Here is a 26,474-nt window from a genome sequence, read left to right on the forward strand (position 1 = left end):
AGATTTATCTTAACAATGACAAAGCAATTGACTGGGAAGTAGTTTTGTTAACCATTCAATTGACTATTTGACCTAAGAATGTTGTATGTATATATATTTAATTTCTATTAAACAAATGAACATATTTGTTTATACCATATAGTTATAGTTTGACTTTTTTTAAGAATTTAACCAAAACCATCAATCCTGAAGTATCAAACTCCAGTGACTTCAGCAATTCTACTTTAGAATTCAGTTATTTGGTAAAAAATGTAAGTAAAATATTAATAATTTCAGCCAGACGCAGTGGCTCATGCCTGTAATCCAGCACTTTGGGAGGCTGAGTTGGGCGGATCATGAGGTCAGGAGATCGAGACCACGGTGAAACCCCGTCTCTACTAAAAATACAAAAAATTAGCCGGGTGTGGTGGCGGGCGCCTGTAGTCCTAGCTACTTTGGAGGCTGAGGCAGGAGAATGGTGTGAACCTAGCAGGCGGAGCTTGCAGTGAGCTGAGATCGCGCCACTGCACTCCAGCCTGGGCAACAGAGCAAGACTATGTCTCAGAAAAAAAAAAAAAAAAAATTAATAATTTCATGGTAACCCTCTTCACTTTTTTCAAAATCAGAACAACAACATTTTACCTTTGCTGATTATTAAGGAATGTTCTCAGTATCATCTAATATTTATGTTCTTGCAAATGCAAGCACTGAACACTGGTATTTTAAATAACATCTTGTTTTTAAAAATCATGTATCTTTCATGCATCTGTAACCATCTGATCAATGATCAGAAAACGGAAAAGTCAGTAAGTATCACTAGGATTCTCTCAGAGAGTCACATTTAATTGGCTGGGCCCGTTTGAATTTCCATCTAGAATCTTCTGAGATTAATGTAGAAGTAATCACGGTGCATAAAAGCAGCTTAAAATACTGGACATAGCTTCAGTATCAGAACACTTTCAACTATAGTGTGACATGCACAATTGCTTTATTTTTCTTGAATATTTTCTTTTCCACTTGGTTAAGAATTTAGCAGATTGTGCTTTTCTGGAGAAAAAAAAACAATGTTGGAAACCAAGTTTTATTTAACAAAATTAAGTGATTTAAGCACAGAGAGATTTTGAACTTAATTCTACAGTATGTGTTTCACAACAAATTTCCTTGTATTAACGGTACGCCATTTCATACACAGAGCAAGTTCGAGCACCGCAGAACACAGCTAATTTTGCTAATGTATCACAATTACAGAAATAGCTGTGCTAAATGAACTTGTCCTATTTTCATGAAAATGAACAGTGTTCAATAACCCTCAAAATATTTTATTTCATGCTGATTCAGATTTTCTCTAACCATTTTTTTCTGTGACTTTGCTTCCACAATAACATAGAATGTTTTTAAAAAGGCAAATGTAGTTTGTTTTCATATATATTTTCCAGATATTCTTTCTTAAGAAAGCATGGTAACTTGCAGTTATTACCATGCATATCTTTTTTTTGGCAAAATGATATAATTTGTTTTAAAAAGCCAATCCAAACCTGTCCTATGTGTATATAGAGTGGCCATGCCGTTAAATTTGCACATAGACTGTCAGTGACTGAGGATGACCCAAATTGCAACTTCCTGTTTTAATGTTGCAAAGGCTGCCTATGCCTGATGGTGTGTCAAATACCCAAAGCTTGCATGGAGGGACCTAACAATGGACCTTTTCACAACTGTGTTTCCAGAATCTTTATTGACTTTACTTCATAGTACAATAAGATGAAAACAAAACGCAAACCGCCTGATTTCCAAGAGCTTATTTAAAACCAAAACCACCATGTGAGACTTAGTTAGCATAGTACACATTAGATATGGATGACATTTCTGCAGTAAGTCATTGTTTTAAGTCTAGTAAATATCCAGATGATAACATCTATTTAAGAACAGCACTGATAATTATATACGAGGAGGTCATGTTAAGTATTCCACAACAAATTAAAGAGATGATGTCCATGAAGTTATCTATGCTACTCTATATAACAGATGGAAAAAGCTTGGGTAATATTCAGTGCGGATACTGACTTGTGTTCCTGACTCATAGGCGGTGCTCAGACACATTTAACCCACTGTCTGACAGAATAAATGAACGTGTCCTGTAAGTGAACCCGTTCTGGGCATGAGGTTAATTATTTTCTATATGAGTACATTAAATCATTTTCTTTTCCAAGGGTAAATGAAGCCTTCAATTTGATTGAATAAAATACAAGATGTGCACCACCATGCCCGGCTAATTTGTTTATTTTTGTACAGGCAGGGTTTCACCATGTTGCCCGGGCTGGTATGGGACTCCTGAGTTCAAGCCACCCACCTGCCTTGGGCTCCCAAAGTGCTAGGATTCCAGGTGCGACCCACTGCACCTGTCCTGAAAGACAGATTTTGCTTAATTTCTACACTTGATGTTCTGGTACAGACATTTGCTTGGAAATACAGTATAGTTAGCGGAAGCCTTTTCATGGGGAAATAAGATATCAGTAAGTATTCCAGGATTTTAAACTAGAATACAAAAGAAGAAAATATTTAAAATAAACTATAGGGTAATATAAAATGTATTTACATCCTTACATTTAACTGCTTATTTTACAAGCAATAAGTTATCATTCACCAATTAATTTATGTCAAGTTCACTTGTATTAATACACATAAACTTCTATGAAGTTCCATAATGCCAAATAAAAAAGCAACATTTAGGTTTAACATGTATTTTATATAGGCATAACGCAACACCAGCATTACAGGATTGCATTTACAAATTCTCTTGACTCTAAGCATGAAGTTATGTTAAAAGACTAAGGCAATTTAACTGTTTTTGGGTTTTTTTATATTAAGGAAACCTAAATTTGTATGAGTGAATTAAATTGAATTACATTTTCTTATAGGCATATCAGTTTACCCTTTGTTAAAATAACACGCACTGCCCTACAAAATGAATGCCGTAGTCACAATCATGTTTCTGCCACAATCTTAAAGATTTGGGGAAACAACTACAATCTAAAATCAGAGACTCCATGTCCAATGCCAAAGGTACACACCTCTATTTTTCCCCAGTAAGCCTCTTGGAAAAGTCTTTGAATTACACGTTAAAGTGCACTTCAAGGAAATGTGATGTTTTCGTTTATAGCTGGTGAACAGCATGCAATTTGACAGCACTGTCACTAACAATCAGAGACTGCTCTGGATCTAAGTACTAAAAATGACCCACACTGCAATCACAAGATATTTGGAAGTGGGGATTTATTGAACAAAGTTAGGCCGGGAGTCTAAAGCAGCACTTGCTTCTTTTGCTCCAAGACGACGACGTTTAACATTAGCATCACTATTGTTTCTTTTTCCCTCAACTCTTCTCCCACACTGCCTTCTTCTCCCCCCCCACCTTCTCCCATCGTCTTTCCCCGCTTCCCTTCTCCCTCCCTCCGCTCCCCCTTCTTCTCCCAGCACTCTTCTCAGCCCGTCTTTCTGCCTTTCTCTTCCCCTCCCCACCTCGTTCCCTGCCTCATCCTCTTCTCTCCCACCAATCTTTTTCCCCTCTCCATCTCTTTCCCCAAGGTCGTCTTCGCCGCTTTCCACTCCCTTCTTCTTCCCCCCAACCCTCTTCCCTCCTCCCTCCCCATCCTTTTCTTCCCTTCACCCCTTTTCCAGTCTTCTTCCCCACCTTCTGCTCTTTCCCTCCCCTCTCCTTCCCGACCCTTCTCCTTTCCCAACGTCTTCCCACCTTTTTCTCCCCTCTCCGTCTTCTCCCCTCCTTCTTCCCCACTGCGGTCTTCCCGCATCCTCTTCTGCCGTCTCCCTACTGTCTTCTTCCCGCACCTTCTTCTCCCCCGCAGTTTTTTTTTCCCCTTCCCCACCGTTTTCTTCCCCTCAGTCTCTCCCATTCCTCGCAGCACGGGTTCCTGTGGCGGCAGCTTTTCCTTCCATCTCCTTCTCTCCACCCGCTGGCTTCCAGTCTCCACCTTCCCGCCTATTCCCCCAGCAGCGTCTTCCCGCCGCTCCCTCTTCTCCCCTCCCCCTCCTCACCGTCTTCTCCCGGCCTATTACCGCCAACCGTTTTCTTCCTCATCCCGCACCCTTTTCTTCCCATGTCTGCCTTAGTCTTCTTCCCACCCTCTTCTCCTCTCCCCATCGCCTTCTTCCCACCCTCTTCTCCTCTCCCCATCGCCTTCTTCCCACCCTCTTCTCCTCTCCCAATCGTCTTCTTTCCCAGCCTCTTCTCCATTTTCTTGCCGCCTCCATATCCCCACCTTCTTCTCGCAGCAGCGTCTTCCTGCCGCGCTTTTCTCTCCCCTCACCATCTTCTCTTCCTCTTCCCCACCGTCCTCTCCCCACGCCCTCTTCTCCTCACTGTCTTCTCCCCGCGCCTTCCCCACAACCGTTTTCTCCCCCGTTTTCTTCCCCTCACACCGTTTTCTTCCCATGTCCTCCCACCGTCTCGCAGCAGCGTCTGTCAGTCGCAATCTTCTTCCCACTTTCTTCTCTCCCCCTCCCATCGTCTTTTTTCCCCAGCCTCTTATTCTCCGCCATCTTCTTCCCCTCCCCACCTTCTCGCAGCAGCGACTTCCTGCCGCGTTTTTCTCTCCCCGCACCCTCTTCTCCCCTCTTCCACTCCCCACCGTCTTCGCCCCCGATCGTCTTCTTGCCCACCCCCTTCTCGCGCTCTCCAACTGCCTTTCACCTAGAAGCGCTCCACGCGTGCGCCCGCCTGTGTCCCTGCGCCTGGTGTGTCTGTGCGCCCAGCCAGCCCCATGAGCTGGGCCCCTGAGCTCCGCCCCAACAGCCAACAGGAGACCCAGGAGAGTCGCTGCCAGGGCCATCACGGCTGCCGCCGCCCCCGCCCCCGCCGCTACCTCAGAACTGAACAGTGTTGGCTGCGGGCGAAAGGCAGTGGGGCCCGGAAGACTGCGGGGAGAGGGGGAGGAGGGGACGGAGAGGGTGGGAAAGACCTTGGAAAGTGGGATGGGGAGAAAGGTGGGGAAGAAGACAGTGGGGAGAAAGTGCAGGGAGAAGACAGTGTGGTAGAGAAGACAGTGGAGGAAAACGGTGAGGAGAAAGGAGGGTGGAAAAGAAGACGATGAGGACAAGGCCGGGCGCGGTGGCTCACGCCTGTAATCCCAGCACTTTGGGAGGCTGATGCGGGCGGATCACAAGGTCAGGAGTTCGAGACCTGCCTGACCAACATGCTGAAACCCAGTCTCTACTAAAAATACAAAAATTAGCTGGGCGTGATGGCGAGCGCCTGTAATCCAGCTACTCCAGCGCCTGAGGCAGGAGAATCGCTTGAACCCCGGAGGCGGAGGTTGCAGTGAGCTGAGAACTCACCATTGCACTCCAGCCTGGATGACAGAGTGAGACTCCATCTCAAAAAAGAAGAACAAACTACAGCGGGGAGAGGGCGAGGGGAAGAAGATAGTGGGGGAAAAAGAGCACCGAGAAAGGGAGAAGAGATGGGGAGAGCTCTATTGTGTCACTGAACATTCCTCAGTTAAAGTTAAAATGTTCTCATAAGTTTGTGTGTTTTCAACTTTTGCTCTTCCAGTTGGTATATTCTTTTCTTCCTCCATCTCCTTTTTATACCTCCAACCACCTTTCTCTTTTTATTTTCCAATGTTTTTCTTTCTTCTAAGAACATTGTTAACGCTGGTAACACTTTACAATGTTGCAAAGCTCTGAACCTATTTCCTGTCATCTCTTCATGCTTTCCCATTGAGATATCAGGAGATTTTCCTTTTACTTTGTTTACACTAGGAACATTTCAGCGTGGCTAGACCTGTTTTCCACCTAATTTTTTTCAACTTCAAGCTTGAGAAACCCAAATATGCTCCTGGTTTTTGTTGTTGTTGTTGTTGTTGTTTTTTGAGACGGAATCTCTCTCTGTTGCCCAGGCTGGAGTTCAGTGGCAAGATCTCAGCTCACTGCAAGCTCCACCTCCCAGGTTCACGCCATTCTCCTGCCTCAGCCCCCCTAGTAGCTGGGACTATAGGCGCCCGCCACCACGCCCGGCTAATTTTTTGTATTTTTTTAGTAGAGACGGGGTTTCGCCATGTTGCCAGGCTGGTCTCGATCTCCTGACCTCGTGATCCGCCCGCCTTGGCCTCCCAAAGTGCTGGGATTACAGGCATGACCAAATGTGCTCCTTTACCAATTGTTTCTGTCTCAGGAATTGGTTTCTTGTTGCACTGTGATACACATGAAGCCATATACCTTTTTCAGCTCATTATCCCCAGAATGTATTTGTACATTATTAACACAGAATAGACACCTAATAAATATTTCTAAATTTTTATTGTTCTTCCTTGCCACAAAAAGCAATCACTTTTTTTTAGCATGATGTACATGCCCTTCTATCATGTTGCCCTGAACTATTTATCAAATCTTATTTCTTCCCACTCCCCCATTTGTTTCCCATGCTGTGGCTGTACAAAACTACTTAGAGCTCTGTCAACTCTCCATGCTATTTTATAATAATCAACACTAATGAAAAGAAAGGGGGCTTTATAACAGAGGCAGAACTCATTATGTTCTAAAAAATACACGCATGTTTCCCATGTTGAATAGTGTCCCGCAGAAAGTCATGTCCAGCTGGAACCCAGGAATGTTAAACTATTTGGAAACAGGGTCTCTGCAGATAACACTTGGTTAAGACAAGGTCACAATGCATTAGGGTGGGCTGTAAAGCCAATGGCTGTGTCCTTTCAGGAAGGTCATGGGAACATACAGAGACCTACAGGGAAGACGGCCATGGGACAAGGGAGGCAGAGTCTGGAGTTACGCTGCCTACAGTCACGGAATGCCAAGGACAGCTGGAAACCACCAGAAGCTAAGAAGGAGATTTTACCTGAAAGCCTCTCAAAGAAATCAATCATACTCACACCTCCTTTTTGAATTTCTGGCCTCGTGAATGGTGAAAAAATAAATTTCTGTCGTCTTAAGCCCCACGGTTTGTAGTCATTTGTTCTGTTCCTAGCCTTAGGAAACTAACACAGCATGCTAAGGGAAAAGAAGAAAATTCTGCATAAAATGTCATTTTACTTTTTAAAACAACTACTGTTGACAGTAAATGAGTATTCTTCCAAGATTCATATGCAGAACATATATGCAGCCCGGAACATTTTTTGGGACCCATGGCATAAGTGATTATGATCGATAAAATCCAAATATTAACCTGCCAAAAGAGTTATTTTATCTTTTGCAGTCATTTAAAGGTAATAAGCAGAGGTCATGAGCCCTATAAAAATTAATCTATTCATTTGTTGTCACTTGATACTTACGATCCGTTGACATATTTAGGTTTTAATTCTTTGTACAGATTATGGTTCGTCTTGCACTGTAATTTTATTGCACAACAAATTTTTTATTTATATATCTAAGTTGTTTCTTAAATGTGAATAACATTGCACTTGAAAATAGAAGACTTCTGTCGACGTTCTCGTAACAGCTTCTTCTAGTTAATAAAAACCTAATCCCATTTTCCTTTTATGTATAGATTACAAGTAAAATCGGCATTTAAAAAGTAAAATCTGTTCAACAATTTCTATTGCTATTGTAGGTAGTATAACATAAAATGTGTCTTATTTTTCCCTCACTCATTGACAATTTAAGTAAATTTTTTAAACCAAGAAGCTCTTTTCACATACCAGGCCCAGTGATTGGAATTGAGTATTCAGTATTGAACAGAGCAAACAAGTTTCTTATCATTAAGCTCATATTCTATGTTATAAACATTTTTCCAGTGAAATTACTGGAATGTTTTCAAGCAATATTGAATTGTGTTCTTATAATCACCTATCTCCATTTATTGTTGAGAATGAAGAAAATTTTGGAGCATTCAATTCAATGCAATGATTTTTTTTTTTTTTTTTTTTTTTGAGACAGAGTTTCGTTCTTGCTGCCCAGGCTGGAGTGTAGTGTCACGATCTTGGCTCATTGCAATCTCCACTTCCTGGGTTCAAACAATTCTCCTGCCTGAGCCTCCTGAGTAGCTGAGATTATAGACTTGTGCCACCATACCCAGCTAATTTTTTGTTTAGTAGAGACGGATTTTCACCAGGCTATCCAGGCTCGTCTCGAAATCCTGACCTCAGATGATCCACCCGCCTCAGCCTCCCAAAGTGCCAGCATTACAGGCATGAGCCACTGTGCCCGGCCCAGTGCAATGATTTGATAGTTATTATGGTGGTTTTAAAATGACCTGAGTGAAATATAGTGCTTACATCAATTCCTTATCTGTCATGCATTTCATCTAGTAATCTGCTCTAACTACATTATTTCTTTTTATTAAATGTCTTGAGATTTAAAAAGATGTTTTGTAGTTATACTCAAGCTTGGAACCATAGTGACCAACTGTTACGGACAGACTGGATTGTATCCCCTTCCAATTAAGTTACGGTGCTGCTACAGAAAGAAAAGAGGTGAACTATTTTTTAAAAGCATTTCTCCATTGGCTTTGAAAATGCCTATATCATCATGAATAGAATGTTGGTAAAATTCTGAAAGCTGAAGGCCATTCTGGTGAGATCTCATATGGAAATGAGATGCAGCTTATTAGAAACAGGAGGAAAAGTGATCCTTGTTTTAAAGTGGCAAAGAACTTGGATGTATCATGTTCTAATATTTTGTGAAAGGTAGAACTTGCAAGTGATGAAATTGTATATTTTGCTGAGGAGATTTCTAAGCAAAGTGATGAATGAATGGTGTGGTTTCTCTTTACCACTTATAGTAAAGTGCAAGAGAAAAGAGATAAAATAATACTTAAAAAGGAATCACAGGCCACATGCAGTGGTTCACTCCTCTAATGCCAGCACTTTGGAAGGCCGAGGAGGGCAGATCACTTGAGGTCAGGAGTTGGAGACCACCTTAGTGAAACCCTGCCTCTACTATTTTTGTAAACATACAAAAAATAGCCAGGTGTGATGGCATGCACCTGTAGTCCCATCTTCTCGGGAGGCTGAGGCATGAGAATCAGTTGAACCTGGGAGGTGGAGGCTGCAGTGAGCTAAGATCGCTCCACTACACAGCAGTCTGGGTGATGGAGCAAGAGTCTGTCAAAAAAAAAAGGAAATCACAGCTTGAATATCTGAAAAATCCTCAGCCTGTCTATATTGCAAAACATAAGAAACATGTTCGGCTGGGCGCGGTGGCTCACGCCTATAGTCTTAGCACTTTGGGAGCCCGAGGCGAGCAGATCACCAGAGGTCGGGAGTTTAAGACCAGCTTGACCAATGTGGAGAAACTCTGTCTCTACTGAAAATACAAAATGAGCCAGGCATGGCGGTGCATGCCTGTAATCCCAGCTACTCCGCAGGCTGAGGCACCAGAATAGCTTGAATCCGGGAGGCGGAGGTTGCAGTGAGCCGAGATCGCACCACTGCACTCCAGACTGAGGGACAAAGTGAGACTCAGTCTCAAAAAAAAAAAAAAAAAGAAAAGAAAAAAAAAAAAGGAAGCAAGCTGGGTATCTGCCTTTAGAGGTGTTGTACCTTTTCAGCATTATAAATGAATAGAGATGAGTGGCAATAGTTACTTTGGTCCATAGATTTTTGGTATCTTAACTAGTTTTGGATCTCTTCCACTAAAGGGATTGCCTGTTGCACGTTGTTAGGAATGTAAATACTGAAGGCAAACTGCCTGGGTTTGAATTTTGTTCTGTCCCTTGCACCCTGCCTGGGTTAAAATACTAGCTCTGCTTATTAAGTTCTTTTATGGTGATGACCTTTGAGCAAATGTCTTAGCTTCTGCTTTCCCAAGTAAATGGACACAATAGTTGCTACCTTGTGAAAGATTCATGTAATTGACCAGTGTTTACCAAGCAGCATCAGTGTTCAGTTTCAGTCATTGGTGATTCCGCAGTTGGACTGTGAGGGGGTGCTGGGGTGGGGGTGGTGTGTGTGTGTAGCACTTAATTGCATGCGGAAAGGAAAAGATACTTTTTATAACCGAGAGGCAGCTTTTCTCTGCTTTTGTGTCAAAAGGGAAGAAGGGAGTTTGGAGAGGGAAACCAATTCTCTTTAATACTAAGCTCTCTTCTTCAAAATCAGAGGTAGATAGAATGTGTAATAATTTACAGAATTTCTAGACTTCAACAATCTGATTTTTTTAAATGTATTTTTATTTTTTCAGGTTGAGACTGAGCTACAGTTAATCTGTGGCGACGTGCTGGATGCACTGGACAAACACCTCATTCCAGTAGCTGACACTGGCAAGTCCAAGGTTTTCTATTAGGAAATGTAGGTTCTATACTAGAAAGGAAAATGTAAGATTAAAAGTTGGCCTTTTTAGAATCATGACTTTCTTCTATGTAGGTTTCCAACTTTTATTTAAAAATAATTGTTTAATGTTAGAAGGATAGTCAATGTTGGGATAAAAAGATGGTCAGGCTATTATAAAAAATGCATTAGCTTTTGCTTTACCTATTTATATTCTTTTGCTTTCATGGGACCTATCTCATTCCCCTCCCCTAAACGGCCACACATTTCACAGTGCTGGCTGAAAGTTTCATGTAGAAATTTTATTTTATGATTAATACACTTGTGCCATTTCTTGGAACCACTTGCTTGTTTAATTCTAGTCTATCAAGTGATAATTTTCTTGATATTTAGAGGCTCCTCAGTTAATTTCTGTGGGATTTTTCGTTATATTTAATAAGGAAAATAATAGGAAATAGCTAAGAAAAAAAGAAACAAAGCCAATTATTCCTGAGCGTGTTTAAAATTATTGAAGTACACTTGTTAATTTTTAGTATAGAACCTACATTTCATAATAGAAAACCTTGGACTTGCCAGTGTTAGCTGCTGGAATAAGGTGTTTGTCCAGTACATTCAGAATGTCGCCACAGATTAACTTTAGCTCAGTCTCAACCTGAAAAAATAAAAATGAATTTTAAAAAATTCAGATTGTTGAAGTCTAGAAATTCTGTAAGTTATTACACATTCTATGTACCTCTGATTTTGAGGAAGAGAGCTTAGTATTGAACAGAATTAGTTTCCCTCTCCAAACTCCATTCCTCCCTTTTGACACAAAAGCAGAGAAAAGCTGCCTCTGGGTCATCAAAAGTATCTTTTCCTTTCCGCGTGCAATTAAGTGCTACACACACACACCACCCCCACCCCAACACCCCATCACAGTCCAACTGCAGAATCACCAATGACTGAAACTGAACACTGATGCTACTTGGTAAACACTGGTCAATTACATGAATCTTTCACAAGGTAGCAACTATTGTGTCCATTTACTTGGGAAAACAGAAGCTAAGACATTTGCTCAAAGATCATCACCTTAAAAGAACTTAATAAGCAGAGCTAGGATTTGAACCCAGGCAGGGTGCAAGGGACAGAACAAAATTCAAACCCAGGCAGTTTGCCTTCAGTATTTACATTCCTAACAACGTTCAACAGGCAATCCCTTTAGTGGAAGAGATCCAAAACTAGTTAAGATACCAAAAATCTGTGGACCAAAGTAACTATTGCCACATACCCAGTTTACTTCCTTTTCTTTTTTTTTTTTTTTTTTTTGAGAGGGAGTCTCACTCTGTCACCCAGGCTGGAGTGCAGTGGTGTGATCTCAGCTCACTGCAATCTCCACCTCCTGGGTTCGTGCCATTCTCCCGCCTCAGCCTCCCGAGGAGCCGGGACCACAGGCGCCCACCACCACGCCCAGCTAATTTTTTGTATTTTTAGTAGAGACGGGTTTCACCGTGTTAGCCAGGATGGTCTCGATCTCCTGACCTCGTGATCCGCCCGCCTTGGCCTCCCAAAGTGCTGGGATTACAGGCGTAAGCCACCATTGCCCGGCCGCTAAACTCTTTAATTTTCAATTACTCCAATTGCTTGAAACTCAAATAGCCATATGGGGCTAGTGGCCACCATTTGGACAGAGTGACTCCAACATTCCATGTGGTGTAATTTTATTTGCTAGCCTTTAGCATCATGTAATGTGATCTTCTTCACTTGTTTTCTGTCTCTGTGACCAGAGCATCAGCTCCTTGAGGTGGGAATTGGTTTGTCTTATCCACTGCTGTATGCTGGGGCTAGAAGTTGGCCTGGCATATAGTAGATGCTCAATATGTAATTGCCGAATGAATGCATGAGTAAATGAATGACTCCTGGGGACCATGAACTCTGAATTTCTCCAAAAGGAATGCTAGTTCTGCCAGGGCTTGCTGCTCTGTGACCTCAAGTCAGGATCTTGCCCTCTCTGGGCTCAGCATCCTGACCAAGGGGCACTGGGGCCCCTCTGGTCCTAAGGCTCGAGACTTACTGCTGCTTACTCTGTCCTGTTGGGAGAAAAGCTGAGTGTTGGGAGAGAAGCTGAGGCAGGGCTTGCATGTCTGCTAGACTTGCTGACTCCTTGCTTCTAGCACTCCCATTATCTCAAGTAGCCACATGTTTCAAAGAAAATGCTACACCATCGCAGCTGTAGCTCACTCACTTGATACATTGATTCCTTTAAACCCCCACAGCCTCACCACCTGTTTCTTTGTTTGAGCACAAATAAATAGCCTGGGCTCCCTGTGTACCCATTGTTCTCACTTAATACATGAGAACATGCAATATTTGGCTGTTTCTGCGTTAATTCACGTAGGATAATGACCTTCAGCTGCATCTGTGTTGCTGCAAAGGACATGATTTTGTTCTTTTTTATGACTGCCTAGTACTTTGTGGTGTATATGCACCACATTTTCTTTATTTAATGAACCGTTGGTGGATACTTACCTTGGTTCCATGACCTTGCTGTTGTAAGTTATGCTGCGATAAACATGGGAGTGCAGTGCCTTTTTATGTAATGATTTCTTTCCCTTTGGGTAGATACCCAGTAGTGGGATTGCTGGGTCGAAAGGTAGTTGTACTTTTAGTTCTTTGAGATACCTCCCTACTTTTTCCATAGAAGTTGAACTAATTGACACCTACCACCGCTTGCTGGAGGTTGAGGACGCCCAGTGAGTGTGCACCCGGGCTGGAGAAGGCAGGAGGTATGGCCCGGAAAAGAGACACAGAAAGGTAATCCAAGAGGGCTTTCTGGAGGAGGTGGCAGCTGAGCCTAGAGGTGAATTTCGTTGGGGAAGAGGGAGTGAGGCCTAGGCAGCTTAGGCCATGACCCCCATAGTGGGAGACGGCTGCATAAGGGTCTCTCTCCTGGCATCCGTCTTTACCCATGCCTGGGCATCCTACCCCCATCACCCTTTAACCCCCGAGGGCCTTGGCTGGGTCCCAGAAATTCCCAGGAGGGTCAGAGAAGACCACGGGGACTCTCATCACCCCCACCCTGGCTCACTTCCAAAAAGGCTGCAAGAAGGATGTTGGAGGGTCTCCTGGAGGCCGCCAAGGGCATTTTCTCATGGAGCCCACGTCTCTCCCCGATCGTGGTGGCTGTGATCGGTAATTCCAGCTTCATACTGGCTACAGGTGGATGATGCCCACCTGGCTGCCGATGACTTCTGCACCAAGTGAGGCTGGGTCTCTGGAGCTGCCCCAGGGGCTGGACAAGCTGACCCTGCCTGGAGCCAACCTGGAGATGCAGCCTGAGAACCTCAAGGAGGACCTGGTCTACCTGAAGAAGAACCATGAGGAGGTGAGTTCAGCTCAGGGAATGCAGCAGAAATTCACCTGGAAGCAAGCGAGGCTGGGGCCCAGAACCTCCCTGGGCTGGGCCATGCTTCCAGTCCAGTTCCCATCCTTTATGGATGCCTAGCTCTGACCCTCAGAGGACCCTGGGTGAGGCCTGGAGGAGCCCTCTTCTCAAATAGACTTCATTTGTCCCTTGAGGCTCAGCTCACTGCAGTTAACTAACTAATGAGTAACTCAGTGTAAGAACACACAATACTAATTACTATAATTAATTATAATAGTGATAGTCATTAAAACAAGGAACTTCTGCCCAGCACTACAAGTGACTCACAGCCATTATCTCAACTGATACAAAAACTGGGAGAAAGGTACTGTTTCTTTCTTTTGACCTGTGAAGAAACTGAGGCTCAGAGAGGTTAAGGGATATATCTATGGCTGCACAGGGACCCTCCTTCAGGTCTGTCGGACTCGTATCCACCCCACCTCTCTGCCCCTCTCCTGCCCCTCCTTTCCAGAAGGTTCTAGGTCCCAGGGACTCCAACCCAAGGATAGAGATCCAAGGTCCTGCCGGGGCGGTCAGGAGGTCTTACATGCCCTGTCCTGTGGCTTCCTTCTCAGCTGAGCTCTGTGCTGCTCTAAGCTGGGGGAGCCTACTCCCTGAGAAGCAGGACACCCGGAAGGTGTTTCCCCCTGGCGTTGAGGCTGGTTATACAATTCCTTTCCTCTAGCAGATTAACATTTGCTAACAGGGCCTGGCGCGGTGACAGCAGCGTAAGGTTGCTTTTTGCATGCCTGTGCTGTGGGGTTGGTGGTGGGGGCAAGGCGGTGGTAGGGGCGAGGCCAGGGCAGTGAGTGAGGTCGCCCATGGTCATTCTCTGCCGTGCTGGGGGGTTGTCATCTCTTGGGGCTTAGCACTTGTTGGGGATGGGTGAAGTCCAGTCCCGAGTCACAGTGTGTGTTGGGGGAGGTTGCTGATATTCATAGCCCTGTATGTTTGAGTAATGACAACATCCATCTCCACCTTCAGGGTGAGGAGCTGTTGGCCTATCTGTGTCTGTCTGTCTGTCTGTCTGTCATCCGTACCTGTCTCTCCCAGGGAGAGAAGGCAGGCCCCAGGGTCTTTCCCCAGGATGGCCTTGGGTGAGTTCCTACTGTCCTCTCTGCCCAGGAAATGAACGCCCTTTGAGGTCAGGTGGACAAGGATGTCAGTGTGAAGATGGACACTGTGCCTGGAGTGAACCTGAGCTGCATCCTGAATGAGATGCGTGACCAGGACAAGAAACTGGTGGAGAAGAGCTGCAAGGATGCCCAGGGCTGGTTCTTCAGCGTGGTGGGTGGCCGTGTGTAAGCAGGTGTGCACACGTGTGGGCACATACGCCGTGTGCTGGTGCAGTTGGAACACCGGCAGATTCACAGGCTGTCCCAGTTGGAAGGACTTTTGGAAACCAGTCGGACCAGCCCTTCATGTCTTCGATGTAAAATGTGAGGCTCAGAGAGGACTCAAGCTCACACAGCCCTTCACTGTGGCCTGCAAAATAGATCCCGTTCTCTGCAAGTCTGGTCTTGGGTTTCCACCACAGCTGTTTACAGGATGTGTGTATTTGAGTACATACACATACCCTTGGCAAGCACAGGCTGAGTGTGTCCGGTGTCCTAGGGACAGCAACAGGTGCAAAAGAATAACACCCAGTGCCTGTCTTTGAGGTGCTGTAGTTCGGTAGGAGTAAGAAATGCAAACGACCGCAGAGCAGGTTGAATTCCTCCAAGGTCCAACATGGGTGCAGAGAGTCTTTGTGTGCAGGTGCTTTTGGGGCCCCATAGAGGCCAGGGAGGGTTTAGGGGATGGTTCTGGGAGGCGAGGGCTCAGGAACAGCCCCTTTCCTGTGCCCCACTTGTGAAAGTCTCCATAAACCCCTGTGGCCCACTCTGCCTTCCAGAGAGAGGGGCTGAACTGCAAGGTGGCCACCAACACAGAGGCCCTGCAGAGCGGCAGGATGGAGATGTGGAGCTCTACATCTCTGTGCAGAACCTGAGCCGTCCCAGCTCAGCAAGGTAGGGCCCCTGTCCCCTCCCCACCCTGTACCTGTCACCCCAGGGTGAGCGCAGCCTTATAGACCCCTGCTTGGAGAACCAGAGTCCCCACCCAGCCTGTCCCTTCACACTCAGTGGCTGGGTGCACTACCACCCAACTGTGCCGGCAGCACCCACAGCTCCATACAGGAGGGGCTCCTCTCTAGTGCTCTGCCATGGGGAAGGGTCCCACGTCCATCTCATCGCACCACCTATCTCTTGGCCCACAGAAAGCATCGCTGGAGGGCAGCCTGGTGGAGACGGAGGTGTGTTACAGGACCCAGCTGGCCCAGCTGCAGGGGCTCATCAGAAGCATGGAACAGCAGCTGTGCGAGCTCTGCTGTGATGCAGAGCACCAGGACCACGAGCACCAGGTCCTTCTGGACGTGAAGACGCGGCTGGAGCAGGAGATCGCCACCTACAGCCGCTTGCTAGAGGTTGAGGACGCCCAGTGAGTGTGCACCCAGGTACCTGCTGGGGCGGGCTGGGGGCCCACTTCACCCAGGGAGAAGTTGGTGTCTGAGCACCAGCAAAGTTCAGGAGGTGTGAATGTGGGAACCTGTGGGGTTTGCAGGAGGTGAAACTGACGATGCAGGCTGGAGTCTGACTGAGGAGCCTTGACTGCCAAGTTAAAGCGTCTGGACTAGATCACGTAGGCAATGGGGAGCCATGGAGGGATTTGGAGCAGAAGAAGGGAATGAACATCAAGATATTTTAGAACATTCACTCTGGCTACAGAGGGAGAAATGGATCAGAGGGGTCAGGGTGGGGCCAGAGAGACGCGTCAGGGGGCTAGAGCAGGGAGTCTGGCCAGAGAAGTCTTGCGGGGTGGAGGCTGGGTGGGGGGGCAGGGGAAGGAAGGTGGTGCACGCAGAAGAGAGGTTATAGCTCAAAACAGCAGGACTGGATGCCTGGATCTCAGGGTAAGCGTGGCTCACGGTCAGGACTCAGTAAGCGTTGGGTGAACACATATGAAGGAGTGGGCATTGATGGCCCTGGGTTTCTGGTTCCGATGACTGTGTGAGTCCATCAGCCACAGGGTGAAGAGCATGGTGGGTGGTGGTCGGGTTTGCAGTTGGGAAGGGTGATCAGGCCTTCAGCTGAGTGTGTCCTGGAGTCTCCATGCTTAGTCACACGTTGCAGCTTTTTGCTCCCCGAAAATGGTGAAGTCCATCTATAGTCTAACGACAGTCTCTCCTGCTTTAATTGGGTCTATTTGTTGGGTCCTCTGGGACATGGAAAAACCACTTGCTCAGCTTCTCCTTGTAAATTCCTGGTGAGTGCCTCCAGGCCTACTGCTGTGCTGTTTCTTTTTCTTCTTCCTGCTGCACTGAACCCCTGCCCTTTCATTCTTGGGCCTGTGCTAATTTCTGTGCATTCCCAACTGTGATTTTTCACCAATTTAGGGGAACCTCCTCTGCCAGGGCCTGCTTCTCCCCAGCAGTGCTTGCAGGGGCCTGGGCTGGCTGGCATCCCTGGGTCGATGGGTGCTCCTCTCCCTGCAGGCTGGCCACTCAGTACTCCTTGTCCCTGGCCTCGCAGCCCACCTGGGAAGGTAAGAAGCTGCCCTGTCCTGCTGTGTGGACCCCAAGGCGGCGGAGAGGCTGAGGACCCTTCTGTGTGGGAGACTGGGGGGACCACAGACTCGGGCAGGTGGGGGGAAGAGCTCCTGCCTGATGTTCCCTGTGCCTCCCTCCTCCATCGCCTGCAGCCACAGTGACCAGCCACCAGGTGTGCCATCGTGGAGGAAGTCCAGGTTGGAGAGGTGGTCTTCTGTAAGCAGGTCCATCTCTCCACCCACTGAGGCCCCTTTCTGCCTGTGACAGCCCCACCTCGAGGGTCATGGCACAGCCATCAGCTGCAGCTCCCAGCATGCTACTGCCACGCCCCGAGTGTCCGTCTGGGCACTGGTCCATGACCTGTTGTCTTTCTGTATCTACTTTCTGCAGCCCCTCACTGAGGAGGCCTCCTGGGTTTGTCCAGTGCCTGCTATTAAAGCTTTGCTCCAAGTTCAATGCCTCGTGTGATCTGGTCTGTTCATTGGTTTGGGGCAGTGTGGGCTGAGGGACTGGGATAGGTGGAGAGTTTATTGAGTGTTTGGGTATTGGCTTGTCACCTGCCAATCTGTTCTGCCCACTCCATCCAGGCCTGGGGCTCCTAGAAGACCAGAGGGGAGGAGGAGGAAGGATTAAGGGTGGAGGGAAGGGACAGCCCCTTGTATTGGGAAAAGTTTCTAAGAATCAGCCCCTGAGTCCCTGTCACCTGTGGCTGGTCCCTGGGAGGGCCACACATACTTTCCAAGGACCACACCTGTTGGGGAGCACTCCCTGCCTCAGCCCAGGGTGGGTTCAAGAGCAGAAGGAGAGGGGCTCGGTGGGGAGGGGCTTCTGAAGGAGTGGTCCAGGGCACTGATGAGTGAGGGGGTGAGAGCGAGGCAGCTAGCCCAGGAAAGCAGACCGGCTCTGCCCAGCTCGGGGTGTGTGTGGGGCAGGGTGGCCGCTGTGCGTGTACGCATGGGGGGTGTCCTGTTTGCTTTGGTGGCTTGGCAGCCACTGGGCTATTGAGGAATCTCTCTCCGCTGCTGGTGGGGCTACCTGGGCCTGTCTGGGAAGTGGAAGCCATTGGCAGTCTGAAACATGACCACCTTCCACCCAGCGGGCCTGGCAGGACCCTGGGACCCAGGGCGGGGCTTGGGGTGGTGGGCAGGGCAGGGTGGGGCTGTGGAGTGGGGCACTTGGCCCGCCCGAGGAGCCACATCTTGGGGAGCCTGGAGTGGGGAGGGGGCTGGCTGGCTGGGGTCTCTGTAAGAGCCTCTTCTTGGGCAATGTCCTTTAGGTTTCCTGTGGGCTGAGACCTGAGAGAAATGCCCCTCCCCTGACCCTGAGGTCTCTTGGGGTACAGAAGGGTGAGAGGAGTGGAAGGGGGCATCCCCCTCTCAGTTGGTTTAGATCCTCTCTTAGCACGGCCCACCTTTCCCCCATCCTATAGCTGAGCCCCTGTTTGCCCACCCCAGCCTGGAGTGTAAACCTGGGGAAAGGTTTACACGAGGAGACTGGGTTAGCAAGGGCTTCTAGGGATGGGGCAGGGTCAGAAGCTGACTGGATGGAACTGTAGCCCCTAGAGTGCATTCCTGGGTGTCAGACTCTGCAGAAGGGGCCAGTGTGGACACTGCACCCCTCTGGAGCCCCAATTTCTTTATCTGCGATGTGGGTTGGTCTCCGAGGCTTGATGGCATTTCTATGCTGTGAGGTGGGCCTGGTGGGTTTGGGCTCAGTTTCCAAGGCAGGATAGGCTCTCGGTCCCTTCTTTCTCTTCAGCACCCAGCCCCGGGCCAGCACCTTGGGTGGAGCAGTGTGGGGTGAAAGACAGCAACTTCAGGGGGTGGTCACCTGACATTGCAACCCATTTCCCCACCAGACAGGGTTGAGGTGGGCCGGGCTGGGGTGGTGGCTGCCTGGGAGGGCCTGGGGACGGTGAAGTCCTGTATTCTCCTCTTCTCCCATATTAGGTCATGGGAAAGCATAGCTGGAGGGCCCGCCCAAATCACAGGTGACGGGCCTCAGAGCAGTGGCACGCACACGCGTGGCACCCAGCACGAGGATTTGGAGAAATGAGGCAAATTCCTGATGATGGGTGGGGAGGGGGTCCCCAGCCACCTGGGAGCTGGCAGGTGGCCCGTGGTGATGAAAGCCCAGGGGAAGGGAAACAGAGGAGCCTGTTGTAATCGCTACGCCCACTTGGTGGCCTATAAAGGAAGCCTGTGAACCCCGGCAGCCCTACACTACTTGGGGCCCCTCTTCTTTCCAGCCCTTCTCCTGTGTGCCTGCCTCCTGCCGCCGCCACCATGACCACCTCCATCCGCCAGTTCACCTCCTCCAGCTCCATCAAGGGCTCCTCTGGCCTGGGGGGCGGCTCGTCCCGCACCTCCTGCCAGCTGTCTGGCGGCCTGGGTGCCGGCTCCTGCAGGCCGGGATCTGCTGGTGGCCTGGGCAGCGCCCTCGGGGGTAGCAGCTACTCCAGCTGCTACAGCTTTGGCTCTGGCGGTGGCTATGGCAGCAGCAGCTTTGAGGGCGTTGATGGGCTGCTGGTCGGAGGTGAGAAGGCCACCATGCAGAACCTCAATGACCGCCTGGCCTCCTACCTGGACAAGGTGCGTGCCCTGGAGGAGGCCGACACTGAGCTGGAGGTAAAGATCCGTGACTGGTACCAGAGGCAGGCCCCGGGGCCCGCCCGTGACTACAGCCAGTACTACAGGATAATCGAGGAGCTGCAGAACAAGGTAGGGCCTGCTGGTGGGAGGGGTCTCCGGGGGGCATGACTTTTTCCCCCCAACTCCTGCCCTGGCCAAAGGCCTGGAGTCCAGCCATAGGGTCTCAGGGAGCCAAGGGTGGTTTGGCTGTGGCTTAGCTTCTGGGAACCTGCCTTGGGGCCCCTGTGTGGCCCACATCCCCCTTTTCTGGGGGCAGTAGGCTGAGTCAGGAACAAACAGGCCTCGTGGAGCCCCTTGGAGACTCAGTTTCTCCCTCGTGGAGCTCCTCCACCTGGAGAGGTTGTAGGATGAGGCAGGAGGATGCAGATGGAGGGCTGGGCCCATGGGCCACTGGATGCGTGGTGTCTTGCTCCTTTGGAGCAGGGGTCAGCAGGAAGGGGTTTTGGGAGGTGTGGAGTGGGGGTGTCTGAGTGAGCTCCCGATAGCACCTGCTGCGGGTGGGAGGCAGAAAGGAGGGGGTGGGACCTCAGGGTGGGGAAGGCCTCTGATGTGCCTTATTTGGGGATTTTTCTGGCTTCTCCTTTCCTCCTGCTGTCCCTTAAGACAGGCTCAGCAAACCGCAGGGGGCGGGGCTGCTGGCTGGAGCCCAGGGTTAGGGATTAGGAAGGGTCCTGACTTCTGATTTGGGACCACTCTTTGGTGAGGGCTCCTTTAGCCTCCTTTTGGGGGAGCCTGTCAGGGGCACCCTCTAGCTGACTGTAAAACGAGGGGGTTGCCCACATCCCCTCCCTTGTTCTAGAATTCTGGGACAGTTTCTGCCCTGGGGACATTTTCCCTTTCTTTTCTGGTTGCCTCATACTCCCAGCCAGCTGTCTCTTCTCCTTTAAGGCTGAGCCTGGCATGGGGGTCTGGTGGGGTACTGAGTAGCGGGGGAAGAAGAGGCACCTTTGAGCCCTTCAGACTCCTGCTTGCCCCTCCTCTGCCAATAATACAGCACGGGGCAAGGGAGGGGCTGGGCGGGAAGAGAGGCCCCCAGGCAGGAAGATCTGTTCAGAACTCTGGTGTGGGCTCAGCCACCCCCATCCGATGACCTGACTACTCTCCCATCTCCGCTGATCCTCACAGCCACCGTGGACAATGCCAACATCCTGCTACAGAATGACAATGCCCATCTGGCTGCTGCTGACTTCCGCACCAAGTGAGTCCTAGCTGTGGGCTTGGGCAGCCTGGGTCAGCTGGGGGAGGATCTCAGGGTACCCCTCCTGACCCCAGGACTCCTTGGTTGCTTGTGGCAAGGCCCAGGAGCTCAGGGTGGGGCAATCCTAGGAGCCCCACTACTTAGTCCAGGATGCAGTGAAGGCAGCCAGTTCTGAAGGTTGCTGGGCTTAGGCAGGGAATAGAAGAGAGGGAGGGGAGGCAGGAGGCAGAGAGAAGTAAGGAAGCTGGTGGGCGTAGGATCTGGCCCTGTGATGGTCCCAAGGCCCCGGGGCTGGAATTCGTTTCCACTCGACCCTCTCATCAGCCCTTCCAACCCCTTAGAGTCCTGGCAAAATGAAGGCAGGTGAGCAGCCAGGACCTGGACCTGCAATTCCAAGCAGCCTGGGCTGAAGTCCCTGATTCCCATGGCAGGTTTGAGACAGAGCAGGCCCTGTGCCTGAGTGTGGAGGCCGACATCAATGGCCCGTGCAGGGTGCTGGATGAGCTGACCCTGGCCAGAGCCGACCCGGAGATGCACATTGAGAACCTCAAGGAGGAGCTGGCCTACCTGAAGAAGAACCACGAGGTGAGGTGGCTGGGGCAGAAGGTCAAAGATGCTGAGGAGTGGGTGGCAGAGCCCTGGGGCTGGGCCATGGCTGAGGCCGTGCGAGAGAGCACAGCAGGCGCACTGGGATTAGTCACCTTAGAGGGCTTCCCTGTCTGCGGAGCCCTGATCCTTGGGGTCCAGCGTGCAGGGCAGACTCCTCTTTGTACCACACTGCTTCTCTGTACCCAAGGAACCTCCCAGGGGCCCGCAGAGGCTCCCTCTACCTGCCCTGGCCTCCCTGATGAGGGCAGGGGATAAGTAAGGAAGTCTCCTTCTTGTCCCATTTCAAACTCTCAAAGCTGAACATCTACACAGAAGCTTGGAAATTAGAGGGGAAATTTTTGGGGCATAGGCCTAATAATTAGATTTTATTTTGGAGAGCCCTTGGTCTAATGGGGGAGATAGAGTCTGATGGTGGAGGCAATACTGAGCAGATGAATAAAAATCATTTAGAGGGTCAGATAGAGCAGAGGAAGAACAAAGGAGGGGTCCTTGTGGGGAATGGGGTCACCTCGTGGGGGAAGGCTTGGGAGTGAGAGATCAGGATGGGTCCAGATGCGCACATCCACATCCCCTTTTTCCATAGGAGATGAACGCCCCGCGAGGCCAGGTGGGCGGTGAGATCAATGTGGAGATGGGCGCTGCCCCAGGTGTGGACCTGAGCCGCATCCTGAACGAGATGCGTGAGCAGTATGAGAAGATGGCAGAGAAGAACCGCAAGGATGCCGAGGATTGGTTCTTCAGCAAGGTGGGAGCTGCTGCAGGCCAGAGGTCTCTCTTCGGGGCTGGGGCTCAGGGGCCTTAGCACTGACAGTAGGCCCACGGACAGGTGTCTTGGAGATGCTCCCTCCTCAGCAAGCTGCATGGACCACAGGGTCACCCACTGCATCAACAGACCTGGAGCTGAGCTCAAGCTGGGATCTGGGGGGTGAGTGGGGAGCTAGGGAGCCCCCACAGAATAAAGGCAGAGGGTAAAGACCTTGGGAGTCCCCACCTCTCTCTCAAGAAGTCAGAAACTAGCACCAAGAGCCAGGCTACATGTTCTGGCTGGTTCTCAAGTTTCCGGTCTGTGCCTCCCACACGCAGGGATTAACCATAAAAAGTTAACATTTCAAATGGCATGTTTCTGGGCTTTGGGACGTGGGAAGCTGGTGAGAAGGCATCACTCTGTCCACAGTTAGATTTGGGAGGAGGCCTGACTGAGGAGAGGGATCCAGGCTCACACCACCCTGTCCTGTGTTCTGTCTGCAGACAGAGGAGCTGAACCGCGAGGTGGCTACCAACAGTGAGCTGGTCCAGAGCGGCAAGAGCGAGATTTCGGAGCTCCGGTGCACCATGCAGGCCTTGGAGATCGAGCTGCAGTCCCAGCTCAGCATGGTAGGAACAGTCCTGTGCATGGGGATGGGCCCAGAAGAGGACACTGACAACCCTCACTGACCCCTGGTCTTCCTGCCCTCCTGCAGAAAGCATCCCTGGAGGGCAACCTGGCGGAGACAGAGAACCGCTACTGCATGCAGCTGTCCCAGATCCAGGGACTGATCGGCAGTGTGGAGGAGCGGCTGGCCCAGCTTCTCTGCGAGATGGAGCAGCAGAACCAGGAGTACAAGATCCTCCTGGACATGAAGATGCGGCTGGAGCTGGAGATCACCACCTACCACCGCCTGCTGGAGGGCGAGGATGCCCAGTGAGTGGGGGAGCCTGGGGTCAGGGCTGGGGGCCTCTTGGCAGGGGTGGGGCTCTCAGACTCACATCTAATTTCCTCTCTGTTTTTTTTTTCTTTCAGCCTGACTCAGTACAAGAAAGAACATAAGCATCTTGGTGGCTGAGGCCTTGGGGATTGGGTGCATGGGACAGGCAGCCCACCTGCACGTTGCTGGAGCTGGGTCCCCAGGAGTTCTAGGAGTTGATGGCTGTCCCTCAGCAGGGGTGGGAGAAGTGACCCGTTAGCACTGAGGATTGATACTCAGGAAAAGATCAAATGAGAGAGATGCTGTCTGGTCTGATGGGGTGGGCCAGGGAACTGGTCCTTACCTTGGAGATCCTAGTCTGATGGAGGAGACAGGTCCCACCTCTGGAGATTGTCATCTGATGGGAAGATAGGAACATGGTCTCATGATCTATGCTCTTGACAGCTTTTGGATGAGCGAAAGCAGTCCTGTCTCTGGGGACTCTAGCCTGATGGGAAATAGGGACATGCTCCTTGTCCTCCAAATTCCAGTCTGATGGAGAAGATATGATGCTAGCCCCAGGGTTCCTAGTCTAATGGAGGAGATAGGGGCCTGGTTTTTGTCTTGGCGATCCCAGTCTGATGGGGGAGATGGGAGCAAATCTATGCCCTGGAGACTGCAGAGAAATGGAGATGGATTTCATGGAGTCTACATGGCTCCTCCCTGGCAGGACACACTGGGTCAGAATCAAATAACCCATCTGCGGAGGCAAGACTCACACAGGGCCACCGGCAGAGGGATGGGATGGAAGGGAGGCGGTGGCAGGGACAGGAGGGATGTGTGTGCAGTGTGATGTTGAGGTGCCAGTGGAGGCACTCACAGCACCTGGGGGAGGACGAGGGAGAGAGCCGGCTCCTGTCCATGAGGGCTAGGGGGCAAGCGAGGGCCTCCTGGCCCCTACCCACTTTAAATTGCCTGCTTCTCCTGCAGCGGTGACCACCTGTCAGGTGCCTACCATTGTGGAAGAGGTCCAGGATGGTAAGGTCATCTCCTCCCGCGAGCAGGTCCGCCAGACCACCCGCTGAGGACTCAGCTTTCCCGGCCGGCCCCCCAGGAGGCAGGGAGGCAGCGGTCCCATCTGCCCCGCGGTCTCCGGCCTCTCCACCCTCAGCCCCCTGCTTCAGTCCCTTCGCCATGCTTCCCTGCGTGATGACAATAAAGCTCGTTGACTCAGCTATGAAATGTGTCCTTGTTCTGGCCGCTGAAGTGGGCACTGGGGACAAAAGGGTGAAATGGGAAGGAGTGAGGGTGGGGGGAGATGGTGCGTGGAGACCCCGTTGTTGACTGGCAGGTCAGAGGTCAGCTTAGACCAGCATAAAGAGTAAGTCTGGGGAGAGTTTGGAGGGGGGTGCTCGCATCTCCCAAGGGCTGGAGATTTTCAGGGGGTGGTCCAGGCTGCGCTAGACCCGGGGTGGAGGCGGTGTATCAGGTGTGGTCCTAGGTCGCCACTGCTTGCCCTGTGAGTAACTCTGTGACCTCGGGAAGTTAGGCAGTCACTTCCCCTGACTGAGCCTTGCTTTTCCATCCGTAAATGGATGGGAAGATCTCAGGTGTGGGAGCCCGAATCCTCAGAGATGACTCACTCAATCAGTTGCTCCTTCCTGTCCTGTGGGCTGTGCCCTCCCCCTAGATGGGGCAGGAGGTGGGCAAGGGCTGGGATAAGCACAAAGGGAGGGTGGGTGGGGGAGGCAGGCTGGGTGATTGGGGCCCCGACTCCTGTGTGAGTCTCAGGAAATCCCCAAGAGGGGCTCCCATTGCCTCTGCCCTGGGAATGTGAGCGGGAGGGTGGTGTTTTCAGGGAAGGCTGCGGACCCCAGGCAGGTATGGGAGAAAGGGTGGGGCCTCTCTCAAGGATGTTTCCTCACATGGTCAGCTGTTGCTCAGGATGCGGACAGGGCAGAGTGGGGGGCACTGCAGATGGGGTGGCTGTGCCCAGGGAGCAGTGCCACTCTCCCTGGCGGTCTGGATCCTCTTTGGTTCCCCACTAGGGACAGGGGTGGTGTGAGGGAGGGTAGAAACTGCCTCCTAGGAAAATGAGAAGGAACAGTCCTGCTCCAGCCACTCCCGGCACCCTCTATGAGCTGACCAACGCCAGCTCTTGCTGGTGGCAGCAAACGTGGCTGTGGGGAGCAGTCTGTGGGAGGTGAGCCTGACACCTGGAAATCTTCCTTGTAGTAAATCTGGAAACTGCCAGGTGGGTTGGCCTGCTTTCCTGGTTTTCTTCAAGCAGGGGGTTAGTGGGAGGAGGGTGCCTCCACGTCCTCACTGCTGGACCTGTGGTGTCTCTGCTGCTGCGGAATCAGACCAAGGCCCCCAAACACCCTCTCTCTCCTGGTGCCTGGAGGCTGGGGGTGGGGCCCAGGTCCGAGGAGAATGGGAGTGACCAGAGCCCTCTGAGCCTGGGTTGGTGGGGGTTTGGGACTGGCAGAGGCCAGGGATGGGGGTGGGTACTGACCACTGGGGTATGGGTGACTTTGGGCTGGTCACAAGCCCTCCCTGGACCTTGGAGCTATGACATCCCGGGAGAGTGTTTCTCTCTGCAGGGTAGATGGCTGCCTGGAGTCGGGGACTTGCACCTGCAGCGGCATCTGCACGACTCAAAGCAAGGGCAAGCTCTGCTCCGTTGGAGGCTGACGTCTCCCTGCTCTCTGGCAGCAAATGTGGGGCCATGGAGGGCAGGAGGGAGGCACTGTTTGCACCAGGCCCCCACCATACACCCCGCCACAACCAGAAGAACAGCCCTGGGCTGCAGATGGCTCATTCTGGAGGGTGACTTCATTTGTCTGAATAGTCCCCGGAAGCAGGGAGGGTCTAGGGGAAGGCGCCTTGTTGTGTGGATGGGGACACTGAGGCTCCAAGGAGCAGTGACTCAGCCCTTGTCCCACAGCCTGAGGGGTCAGTAGTGGAGACGGGCACGGGAGGGGAGTGGGCCCCGCTTCCGTGCTGGGAAGAGGAGCCAAGCCCCAGCTCCTCCCCCACCTCAGGCTCCAGGCAGGGCTATCTCTCCCTCCTGTAGAGCCTGGGGTCCACAATTACTGATGGCGTGAGTGAGGAGGGGTCAGAGTGTGGGAAGGACCAGAGACAGCCCCAGACTG

At 50.5% G+C, this 26,474-nt stretch overlaps 1 long non-coding RNA gene and 3 pseudogenes across 3 annotated transcripts, besides 5 other annotated features; 3 read left to right on the forward strand and 1 right to left on the reverse strand.

Moving 5' to 3' along the window:
* Window positions 1,534-1,623: an enhancer, noted in NCBI's record as "active region_11838". NCBI's record gives its function as "activates an Ori minimal core promoter by ATAC-STARR-seq in GM12878 lymphoblastoid cells {active_cell/tissue: GM12878}" and the evidence as "EXISTENCE:reporter gene assay evidence [ECO:0000049][PMID:35858748]".
* Window positions 3,715-6,944, forward strand: LINC02076 (long intergenic non-protein coding RNA 2076). Its single transcript, NR_104343.1, has 2 exons — window positions 3,715-5,354; window positions 6,706-6,944. It is a non-coding gene; the product is annotated as a long intergenic non-protein coding RNA 2076 (long non-coding RNA).
* Window positions 4,948-5,772: an enhancer, noted in NCBI's record as "H3K27ac hESC enhancer chr17:18315706-18316530 (GRCh37/hg19 assembly coordinates)". NCBI's record gives its function as "activates a minimal SCP1, AML or CMV promoter by ChIP-STARR-seq in primed H9 embryonic stem cells {active_cell/tissue: H9 hESC(primed)}" and the evidence as "EXISTENCE:reporter gene assay evidence [ECO:0000049][PMID:30033119]".
* Window positions 5,773-6,596: an enhancer, noted in NCBI's record as "H3K27ac hESC enhancer chr17:18316531-18317354 (GRCh37/hg19 assembly coordinates)". NCBI's record gives its function as "activates a minimal SCP1, AML or CMV promoter by ChIP-STARR-seq in primed H9 embryonic stem cells {active_cell/tissue: H9 hESC(primed)}" and the evidence as "EXISTENCE:reporter gene assay evidence [ECO:0000049][PMID:30033119]".
* YWHAEP2 (tyrosine 3-monooxygenase/tryptophan 5-monooxygenase activation protein epsilon pseudogene 2) lies at window positions 10,751-10,862 on the reverse strand (annotated as a pseudogene).
* Window positions 11,199-11,700: an enhancer, noted in NCBI's record as "H3K4me1 hESC enhancer chr17:18321957-18322458 (GRCh37/hg19 assembly coordinates)". NCBI's record gives its function as "activates a minimal SCP1, AML or CMV promoter by ChIP-STARR-seq in primed H9 embryonic stem cells {active_cell/tissue: H9 hESC(primed)}" and the evidence as "EXISTENCE:reporter gene assay evidence [ECO:0000049][PMID:30033119]".
* Window positions 11,701-12,200: an enhancer, noted in NCBI's record as "H3K4me1 hESC enhancer chr17:18322459-18322958 (GRCh37/hg19 assembly coordinates)". NCBI's record gives its function as "activates a minimal SCP1, AML or CMV promoter by ChIP-STARR-seq in primed H9 embryonic stem cells {active_cell/tissue: H9 hESC(primed)}" and the evidence as "EXISTENCE:reporter gene assay evidence [ECO:0000049][PMID:30033119]".
* On the forward strand, window positions 14,737-17,889 carry KRT17P5 (keratin 17 pseudogene 5; annotated as a pseudogene). Its single transcript, NR_001443.1, has one exon. The product of NR_001443.1 is annotated as a keratin 17 pseudogene 5 (transcript).
* Window positions 17,890-19,416: 1,527 nt separating this feature from the next.
* On the forward strand, window positions 19,417-24,482 carry KRT17P2 (keratin 17 pseudogene 2; annotated as a pseudogene). Its single transcript, NR_146075.1, has 7 exons — window positions 19,417-19,917; window positions 20,974-21,046; window positions 21,478-21,631; window positions 22,239-22,400; window positions 22,904-23,029; window positions 23,116-23,336; window positions 23,436-24,482. The product of NR_146075.1 is annotated as a keratin 17 pseudogene 2 (transcript).
* Window positions 24,483-26,474: the final 1,992 nt, after the last annotated feature.

This window comes from Homo sapiens, chromosome 17, assembly GCF_000001405.40.
Source record: "Homo sapiens chromosome 17, GRCh38.p14 Primary Assembly".
Lineage (NCBI taxonomy): Eukaryota > Metazoa > Chordata > Mammalia > Primates > Hominidae > Homo > Homo sapiens.